This window comes from Homo sapiens, chromosome 1 (genome assembly GCF_000001405.40).
Source record: "Homo sapiens chromosome 1, GRCh38.p14 Primary Assembly".
Taxonomy (NCBI): Eukaryota; Metazoa; Chordata; class Mammalia; order Primates; family Hominidae; genus Homo; species Homo sapiens.
In genome coordinates this window covers 231,509,207-231,520,253 of record NC_000001.11, presented here as the reverse complement: position 1 = coordinate 231,520,253, position 11,047 = coordinate 231,509,207, and the positions used below count along the sequence as shown (strand labels likewise).

Here is an 11,047-nt window from a genome sequence, read left to right as displayed (position 1 = left end):
AATACGATACTGGCTTTCAAAAGAATGAGGTAAATTTACATATCTACATTAAAAGGTATTCAAGATATCAGAAAAAAGGGCAAGTTGCAAAACAATATTTAGAGTAAGAACCTATTCATGAATTTTTTTAATGTAATTTGTGTTACATGTAGAAAAAAATATGGGCAAGAATACATCAAAATGTTAACAGTGGTTATATCTGAGGATCAGGAATAGGAAGAACATTCGCTTTCTAAGGTATGTATTCCTATAATTCATGGATATGACAATAACCAAGTATTACTTTTACAATAGAATATATAGGTTTTAACTTTGGTTAAAGCAAATATATCTTTTTTTTTTTTTTTTTTGAGATGGAGTCTCGCTCTGTTGCCCAGGCTGGAGTGCAGTGGTGTGATCTCAGCTCACTGCAAGCTCTGCCTCCCAGGTTCAGGCCATTCTCCTGCCTCAGCCTCCCGTGTAGCTGGGACTACAGGCGCCCACCACCACGCCCGGCTAATTTTTTGTATTTTTTAGTAGAGACAGGGTTTCACCGTGTTAGCCAGGATGGTCTCGATCTCCTGACCTTGTGATCTGCCCGCCTCGGCCTCCCAAAGTGCTGGGATTACAGGTGTGAGTCACTGCCCCCGGCTGCAAATATATCTTAATGTTAAATGTGTATTTTTCTGATGATAAAATTATGAGAAATGTTATTTTCATTTTTGTTTTCCAAATTGTTTACAATAAGTATACATTATAATAAAGGTGGAAGCATTATTTAGAAAAATATTAACAATGTTTTTTAATATTGGGGTATGGTGATATTTTTCCTTCCTCTCTATAGAGCTCGAGTTTTCCATGACAAATTTATTGCTTAATATGCAAGTCTGCTTAGCATCCCTTCCTTGAATGAATCACCCCTTTCATACTCTCCTGGTAAATTGCCCTTCAATAGTCCTGGTATGGCTGCAATTTGAAGGAACTTCACCATTCCAAGCATAGGCTTTGCTGGTGAAGAAGTGATAGAACAAAGGAGAAGAGCATTCACGAAGGAACACTGGCTTGAGAACCTCATTTGTCCCTTTAGGGATCTTCAAACCACTAACCCAGTGGTTCTCAGCAAAAGGTGATTTTCCTCTCAGAAGATGTTTGGCAATGTCTGGGGACCTTTTTAGCTGTCATAACTGGGGAGTGGGACTAGGGTTGCTACTAATATCTAGTGAATAAAAGCCAAGGATACATTTTACAATGCACAGGACAACCTCCCACAAACAACAAAGAATTTTTCAGTCCAAAAATGTCAATAGCGTAGCAGCTAAGAAACTAAGAAACCCTGTGCGGGGCAGTGGGGGCTTCGCAGCAGGGAGACACCTGCTAACTGACCTTGGCTACCAAAAGGAAAGGAAACAGGATCGCTGTTTCACAATAGAAGCTGGGAGAAGTACAGCTGGATCACAAGAGATCCCCAGGGGTCCTTTGTTGTATACCATGTGCAGTGGTGAAAATTATCAGCTGACTATAGCAACCCATCACAGACAGAACCACTAAGGATTCAAGCCCCAAGAAATAAAGGTGTGCATTGCCTTATCAGGCAAAGAACTTCAACCAGCTTCAGTGTGAACGAAAGATAGGCAAAACAAGGAATAGGTGGTAGGAGAGGAAAATACCAGTTACAGCCTCAAGACCAGCTGTACAAAGAGCTATAGGCTCTACCTCTATTTCTTTGCCTGCTGCATCTTACATTAATATTTTTTTCCTTTTCTTTACTATGCAATTGTATCTGTGGTATAATGGTGGTTGTTACATTTGCTGTTTGTCCATAATTATGGAGAAAATATTGACTGTGAACTAGGGTAGAAATGAACTAAGAGGATCTTGAACTCTGGGAACAGTGGCTTGTGGTAACATTTGGGATATTTTTATTTCTGTTTCCATTGAGTGGTATAAAAATTCCCTTCAAAAGAGGAATTTTCTAAGAAGTTGAACCTCTCCAGGTGCCCAAGAGTAGATATCATAAACTTTGGATTGAACAGAAGACAAAAAGAAAAAGATATCTGCATGTAGATAACTGATAGATACAGAGAGTTAAGGACCTCACTGATGACTTTCATAGAAATTTTTAAATGCTAATGGAAACAGAGTCAGGTAGGAGCGTGTTAGCCTTTAAGGAAATTAGCAATGAGGAGTGGACTTTACTTCATAAATTTGTTTTGCCATTTTTGCGGGAGAGGGGGAGCCAACAGCTGCATTTTCAGAATAATCTCTATGTATAAAGTCACATGAATGGATTTCAAAAGTTGTAGTTGGGTAAACAGCATCTTCCTTTTATCAAAATTACTTTTTCCATTTAGATCAGTTCAAATCCCTGAATAAATTCCTTTTCTGATAAACTAGTTATAAAGGAGTGTATAGTTGCAATGAAAAACTCTTAATTGGTACAGAAAGTGTTATGAAGAAGAGTTTCAGGGCACAGATCCTCAAGGAAGTGATTATTGAGCTTAGTTGGATCTGAAGACACTGAGGATTCAAAGAGAGTGTTTCTCAGGTAGATTATAGCATATAGAGGCAAAAGAGTTATTGTTATTTCCTATGCCAACTGTAATGAAGTGCCTGAAGGAAGGTTTTGGGGGACAAGTGGCATGGTTCCTTAAGTGCTGCCAAACTTTAAAGAAAGATAATGACAGGCTTAAGATAAAAATTATTGGCTCCAAACAGAAAACCAAGGGCTGTCTTTAACTGCTAAGAGAACGTTTAGGTTACTAGCCTCAGAAATGAAGTAACAAAATCAAACTCAAAATTTGAACCTGTGGACTGTAAAATTGAAGAGTAAGTTGTATTTACAGCATCACCAGATCTCATTCAAAATTAGTGCAGTGATTGGGATAGATTGAAATACCCTGAGAATTGAAATGAGGAAAGAGGAGAATTTGGGTGACAGATTATTCCAAACTCCACTGCACATTCCTTGCAAGCTGGAATTTCCCAACCCACATATCTAGTGAGACTATTCTTGTTTTGCTTGAAGATCTTATCACGACCTTGCCTCAGACACTTACTTTGTAGGAGGTGGCCAAATTGTCTCATGCCCCATTTCTATCGCTACTAATTTGCCTTTGTATCTACAATTAGGGCCAATTGCATCAGGCACACGAAGGCCAATTATAAAGTCAAACTCTGAAGAAGAAGGCTCATAAAACAAAACAATTTTGTTTATTTATATGGCAAGAACCTGAAGAATATCAACGATAATGCATTCTTAGAGTGTTAGACGAGGGAAAGGGGAATCATTTAAGATCGAACACCTTTATCGAAAGGCGTTCAAGCAGATAGGAGTGATTTTAGTAGTTTATGTATTCTATTATCTAAAAACAGGACTCAATGGTAACCAAAAACAAAATGTAATAATGTTGCAAGAAATTTCTTTCTACTAAACACAGGAAGGAATATGGGAATGTTAGAATGGATTTATCAAATATGTCTACTCAGCCATCACTAACTATGTCCAGTAAGAGAACTCTTTTTAGTAGTCTGGGGGTACAAATAGTTGATTCTGCCATTGAAATGGGCTCTTTGGTTTCAATGGGGTTTATGGGATAATAACTTAAAAAGCAAGGTGGGCATGGTTATTATAATAGACAGCAGGGTAAGAATAATAATCAAAATGGTTCTAGATCACATAGATCCTAGGACCAAACTGCCCACTAAGTTCCTAGCAGATAGAGCCTCACGTAAGCCTCCTTGGTTGAACAACACTGTCCCTCATCTAATTCTCCTCCTGAATAAATTCAGGACTTAGAGATCTTTGAAGAAAAAGCATGGTAAGATACTCTTGAAGAAGACACCAGCAATAACATCACTAGTGCATTCTTTAAATTATCCTCCTAGGCTTCCACTTAGGGATTTGTGTTCATTTACCAGGGTTATTATGGCACAGACTAACTGGGATCCAGGAAGCTACTATGGTCAACTGGTAAGTGTGGGAGTTTATTGGGATTAGGTGATGAACAGGGTTGTTGTTTTGTTTTTTGTATGCCTCATGGTGCGCTCAATGGGACTCTTAGCCCATTATATTGTCACTTCCTGAATAAATAAATATATAGTTGGAATACAAGTCCTCAACAATTGGCAGAATTTTCACTTTGACCTTCTGATCTGTGAAATATATACTATAATTGTAGGAAGGACCAAGTGGAAATCTTTGAAGCTCTTCCTATCAAAAGGCAAAGCCAAAGCAATACTACATTCCTAGAGAAATGTGAGGCTATTACCATCATCAAAGACTTGTAAGAAACAGGAACGACTATTCTTAGCACATCCCTGTTTCACTTCCTTCTTTGGCCAGTGCAAAATGAGTCTTGGACAGTGAGAGTGTTAATTAGGCAGTGATTCCATTTGCAGGTGTTCTAGGTAGAGTCTCTTTTCGCAAGTAAATCAGCACAGCCCCCAGCATCTGAAATTATAGCCATTGATCTAACTGGTTCATTTTTCTTTCCATAAATAAGAAAAGAACATCAGAAGTAGTTTACTTTTACCTCACAGGGATACCAGAACATACTCATTTCTTATGTCGAGGCTGTCGGCTCAACAGCTTTGTGCAAGAATTCAGTCCACTTTGCTTTGGTCCACTTATCAAGAGAATCATGCTAACTTAAAGTAACATTTTTAAATGTCTTCAGATGTTCAGAGTTCCATCATTTGTAACAGCAAATCAAGAAATTGTCTAAATATCAACAATAAAGACATGATCAAAATCATGGTCTATGTGGTATAATATGAAAAAAAATTTACCAAGAACTTGAAACATATTGGCAAATTTTTATATTACTACACTAAGTGAATAAATGGTACAGTATAATCATACTTATGTTTTTTGCTATGCACAGAAAATGATATTAACAGTATAATCTGCTGGGTGCAGTGGCTCACACCTGTAATTTCAGCACTTTGAGAGGCTGATGCAGGAGGCCGCTTGAGCCCAGGAGTTCAAGACCAGCCTAAGCAACATAGTGAGACCCTGTCTCTACAAATAATTAAAAAATTAGTGGGGTGGTTGAGCTACTAGGGAGGCTGAGGTGAGAGGATTGCTTGAGCCTAGGAGGTTGAGGCTGCAGTGAGCCGAGATCATGCCACTGCACTCCAGCCTGGGTGACAGAGCAAGACTCCGTCTCAAAAAAATATATAAATAAATAAATAATAAAATCAATGATAAGGGTTCAAGCAATACATGCACACATATTGGTGAATGGAATCCAAATTCTACAACCATTTTGCAAAGTAATTTGTAAATATATGTCAAGAGCCTTAAAAAATTCATATATAAAACTACCATTTGACCTAGCAATCCCACTACTGAGCATCTACCCAAAGGAAAAGAAATCATTATATTAAATAAGGCCTGCATTCGTATGTTTATTGCAGCACTATTCATGATAGCAAAGTCACAGAATCAACCTAAGTGTCCATCAATGGTTGACTGGATAAAGGAAGTGTGGTACATATACACCACGGAATACTATGCAGCCAAAAAAAGAATAAAATCATGTCCTATTTAGCAACATGGATGCAGCTGGAGACCATCATCCTAAGTGAAGTAACTCAGAAACAGAAAATCAAATACTGCATGTTCTTATAAGTGGGAGCTACACAATGGGTACACATGGCCATAAAGATGGAAGTAATAGAAACTGGGGACTCCAAAGGTAGAAGGGTAGAAGGAGAGTGACAGTTTAAAATATTACCTGTTAGATACAATGTTCTCTGTTTGGATGATGGGTATACTAGAAGCCCAAACTTCACCATTACCCAATATATCCATGTAACAAATCTGCACATATACCCCCGAATCTAAAATTTTTAAAAGTTTGTTTTAATGTAATAAACCTAGACGTTCTGCACATGTACCCCAGAACTTAAAGTATATAAAAAAAGTTTGTTTTAATGTTCTTAATATTTGTTCCAACCATTTCACTCCCAGGAATCTCCCCTAAAATTATTGAGATGCAAATAAAGCTTTAGATACAGAAATATTCAATGAAGCATTACTTCTCTTAATCATACTTGAGAACAACTTAAAACTCTCAAATGTGGGAATAATTATATTAACTCATGACACCTGTATGAAATGAAATATTAATACAGGGTTTATGAGTTAATATAATTATTCAGATTTTGATAACATTTGAGAAGTTTGTGATATGCAAACTTATAAAGCAAGACGTAAGTTCACCTATGCCATGATATCAATCTATTAAATATGTGCATTTTATGGAAATACTGATTCAGAAACACAAGTCAGCATAATATATGGCCAAGGATTTTTCACTGAAATAGGAATAGTGAAAAACCTGAAACAAATGTCCATCAGTAGGATTATTTCAGCAAATTATGGTATATTCATTCAGTAGGATAATATAGGGCTGTTAAAAGAATGAGGTTAGAACTGTATGTACTAACATGGAGATGCTTTCAAGATAAGAGAGTTCAGTGGCATAAAAGTAAGATAGTATTTAATGTAAGAAAAATAGAATCCAATTTTCATTAAAATAGTAACAATATATGCATAAAAAGAAAGGATGGAAAAAAACTTTCAACAGTGATTCTTTCTGAGAGTCAGAATTATAGATGTTTGCTTTATATTGTATATATTTTTGCAGTGTAACCCAGCATGTATTATGGTTGTGATTAAAAATTTTTTTAATTTAATTCATTTTAAAAAATTGTTTGTGGAGACAGGGACTCGTTATATTGCACAGGCTGGTCTCAAACTCCTGGCCTCAAGTGATCCTCCCACCTAGGCCACCCAAAGTGTTGGGATTACAGGCGTAAGCCACTGCACCCAGCCAGAAAAAAACCTTTTAACTTTAAGATTTTTTTTTTTTTTTTTTGAGACGGAGTTTCACTCTTGTTGCCCAGGCTGGAGTGCAATGGCACGATCTTGGCTCACTGCAACCTCCATCTTCCGGGTTCAAGCGATTCTCCTGCCTCAGCCTCCCAAGTAGCTGGGATTACAGGCATGTGCCATCACACCCAGCTAATTTTTGTATTTTTAGTAGAGACAGGGTTTCACCATGTTGGTGAGGCTGGTCTCGAACTCCTGACCTCAGGTAATCCACCTGACTTGGCCTCCCAAAGTGCTGGGATTACAGGCGTGAGCCACTGTGCCTGGCCGACTTTTAAGATTTTTAATGAAGGCATGAATACCACCAAAATGTAAAGATTGTTTATATCTACATATTTACTGGCATTTTCAATTTTCTGTATACATTTGAATTGTTCCAAATTGTCTATGGCAGCTTTCCTAATCTATTGAGGAAACATTATTTAGAAAAATAATAACAGTGAATATCTTTCGTTAGTGGGACATGGTAGGTTCCTATCTTCCCCATTTTGTTTTTTTTTTATTTTTCCAAAAGTGCTTATATTAGAATGTATTATTAGATGTTATTATATTATTATATTATGTAATATGTTGTTTTGCCATGCCCAGTATTATTTCCTTTAGGCATTTGTTCTTCTCTATGCCATATAATCCTAAATCAATCTATTATCTCTCATGAAATTTGGCTTTAAAACAGACACACCCTAGGAGGAAAAATGATTGTAGCTGAGTCATTTGCTTGACTTCCCAAGGATAAAATCCCTGAAACTGCACTGGTTCCTGTTCTCCCCAAGGACTCATTGTTCATCATTAATTTTGATGCTGGTTGCTCGTCAGAACCTCAAATAAATTCTTTCTTATTACCTAAGTTAGAGTCCATTTCTATTGCTTGCTGCACAAGAACTTTAACTGATTCAGAAATTGTAACCACAAAGTGAATCACAGGGAACTATGGAGAACACAGAGTTGGTCATGAGGAAAAGATGAAAGCAAAAGAGAGTCCTGTTTTACATTCCAAGATGAGAAGATAGCAGCCCACACACAGTACACAATGGCAAAATGTCATTACCTGTGACCATCTAGGCCCATGTGACCTCTGCAAATGAAGTTCAATCACTTTGTAAAACATTTTGTCATTATCTGTTGAAGTTGAACCTGTGCATGTCTCATGACCTAGCAGTTTCACTCTTGGTACATTCACGCACCAAGAGTCTCATAAAAGAACATTCACAGCAACAGTACTTGGAGTAGCCAGAGACTAAAGAAAACTGAAATTTCTATTAACAATTTAAATATTTTTGTTTCTGTTTGTGAAATAGTTGCAAAAATCCTAAACAAAAACAATAGCAAAGCAAATACAACTTTGTCTAAAAGGATAATGAGCGCCTATAAATTTCTGTTTATTTCTGTAGTGAAAGCTTGGTTTAACATTTGCTGTATTAAACATCAAGACTTACTATAAAGTTAAAGTAATTTAAACAGTATAGGCTATGGACATACAATTTATGACAAGTCTTGATTTTTGCATTTGTCTTTACAAAAGAGAGTGTTGGCGGGCGCAGTGGCTAACTCCTGTAATCCCAGCACTTTGGGAGCCAAGGTGGGTAGAACGCTTGAGCTCAGGAGTTCAAGATCAGCTTGGGCAACATGGCAAAGCCTTGTTTCTACAAAAAATACAAAAATTAGCTGCGTGGTGTCTTCGGCCTATAGTTCCAGCTCCTGGGGGGCTGAGGTGGGAGCATGGCTTGAGTCAGGGAGGTTGAGGCTGCAGTGAGCCAAGATCATGCCACTGCACTCCAGCCTGGGTGACGGAAATGAAACCCTGTCTCCAAAAACAAAAAAGTGTCCCTTAATTTTTCTTTGTTCTCTTTTTTTTTTTGGATGTCTTTTTTCGAGTTTGGGTATCTTCATAAGAACAAATTGGGGAGTGGTTCTTCTTTCCATATCTTATTTCTCTGGATGAATTTGTGTAAAACTAACATTACTTCTTCCTGAAATGTCGGTGGAATTTATCACCAAAATAATTAGCCCATGAAGTGTGTGTGTGTGTGTGTGTGTGTATTCCTGTTAAACTGAACTGTTTTTCCTTTAACCATGAAATTCTTTTTCTTTAGTAACAGTTTTCACTTCATTATTTAAAAATTTTTTTTTATTGATTGATTAATTATTGATTTTGAGAAAGGATCTCACTCTGTTGGCCAGGTAAGGGATCCACCCGTCTTGGCCTCCCAAAGTGCTGGGATTAGAGGTATGAGCCACTGCACTCAGCCTACAACTGTCTTTTTATATTTCATTGGTTGGATCAAATTTTCTTTCTTATATTTCATTGGTTGGATCAAATTTTCTTCTGTTGGTTTAAGTGCTACCCTTTTGTTACTTTTTTTCTTATGATAATTGTCCTTTTCTTAACCCAACTGAATTGATTTCTTAGGCTTATCTGCATCTATATCTTCCACTCAGACAAGCACTTTAGCTTCTAACATTTCTTATAGATACAATTTTAACTGTGAGGTTTTAAAAAATGTTTTTCAAAAAATGTTTGCCCTTTTTTTATCAAATTATCAATTCATCCTCTATATTTTCGATCTGTTGCAGCATTCCCTTGAGTTTTTCTCATTTGACTGCTTCTCCAGTAATGTTTTTTTTTTTTTGAGACAGAGTCTCACTCTGTTGCCCAGGCTGGAGTGCAGTGGCACGATCTGGGCTCACTGTAACCTCCGCCTCCCAGGCTCAAGCGATTCTCCTGCCTCAGCCTCCTGAGTAGCTGGGACTAGGCGCACGCCACTACGCCCAGCTAATTTCTGTATTTTTTACTAGAGACGGGGTTTCACCATATTGGCCAGGTTGGTCATGAATTCCTGACCTCGTTATCTGCCTGCCTCGGCCTCCCAAAGTACTGGGATTACTAGGCGTAAGTCACCATGCCTGGCCTCCAGTAATATTTTTTAAATAACTTTTTGTGTGACAAACCTGTTGTATGCCCGAGACTATCTTTAATATTATTATTACACACATTTAAATGAGAGTTTGGCTGAATATAAAATTCTAGGCACAAAATGCTTCTTCAGCACTTCTATTACTTCATTATCTTCCTGTGTCCAACAATCCGATAAAATATGTGTCAATCTAATTATTGTTTCTTTGAAAAACAAGCTTTTAAATGTTGTATTCATCCTAGCTATTATTTTATTTATTTTTTTTTTTTTGAGACGGAGTCTCGCTCTGTCGCCCAGGCGGGAGTGCAGTGGCGCGATCTCGGCTCACTGCAAGCTCCGCCTCCCGGGTTCCCGCCATTCTCCTGCCTCAGCTGCCCAAGTAGCTGGGATTACAGGCACCCGCCACCACGCCCGGCTAATTTTTTGTATTTTTAGTAGAGACGGGGTTTCACCGTGTTAGCCAGGTATCTTAGCTATTCTTACATTTCATTGTGTTATGTCTAGGTATAGGTTTTTCCTTATCTCTCCTCTTTAGCCTTCTCTGAGCCCTTTAAATCTCGAGACTTCCATCTTTAATTTTGCAGAATTTACCACCATTAGCTTCAAATATTTTATCCCCTTAGTTTGTTTCTTTTCTCTTATTTTCCAGATGTTGGCACTTCTACACTTCATTTCACTTACCTTTATCTTCCTCTCCCTTCTATTTATCTTGCTTACTAATTCCTGCTTTGGCTGTATCCATCTGCTATTTGTTTCACAGAACCACGATATCTGTGTTTAAATCCTAGCTTCCCCTTGGGCAATTTACTTAACCTCTTTGTGCCTCAATTCTTTCATGTGAAAAGTACAAATAATAATAGTACCTTCCTTGGAGGATTGTCGTGGGAGCTAAATGTATTGGTACTGTATATGAATGCACATAGACCATTACCTGGTACATAGTAAATAATATATAAATGCTAGTTATTATTATTATCTATTGTGTTCTTTATTATATTGTTCACACCTATTATTTCTACTTGTTCTTTCTTTGACCTTTTGTACCAGCTTCATATTACTAATATCTTCCGTGAGGATATTTGTTGCTTATTTTTAAATTCAGAGCCTATCTGTACCAATAATTCTGCTTTCAAAATTCAAGTAGTGTATGCAATTCAGTTTTGTTGTTTTTCCAATTAGGAAGGGCCAAAGCCCAGGGCCTAGTTTGTGTTCCTCTTGGTGACTGTAAAGTAATAAAAGATGAGCCTCAGGGCAG

General features: G+C 37.4%; 2 annotated features.

Annotated features, from left to right (window-relative positions):
- Positions 7,377-8,576: an enhancer, noted in NCBI's record as "CDK7 strongly-dependent group 2 enhancer chr1:231647424-231648623 (GRCh37/hg19 assembly coordinates)". NCBI's record gives its function as "activates an origin of replication core promoter dependent on BRD2, BRD4, P300/CBP, MED14 and CDK7 cofactors, with strong dependence on CDK7, by STARR-seq in HCT116 cells {active_cell/tissue: HCT116}" and the evidence as "EXISTENCE:reporter gene assay evidence [ECO:0000049][PMID:35650434]".
- Positions 7,976-8,065: a silencer, noted in NCBI's record as "silent region_1953". NCBI's record gives its function as "represses an Ori minimal core promoter by ATAC-STARR-seq in GM12878 lymphoblastoid cells {active_cell/tissue: GM12878}" and the evidence as "EXISTENCE:reporter gene assay evidence [ECO:0000049][PMID:35858748]".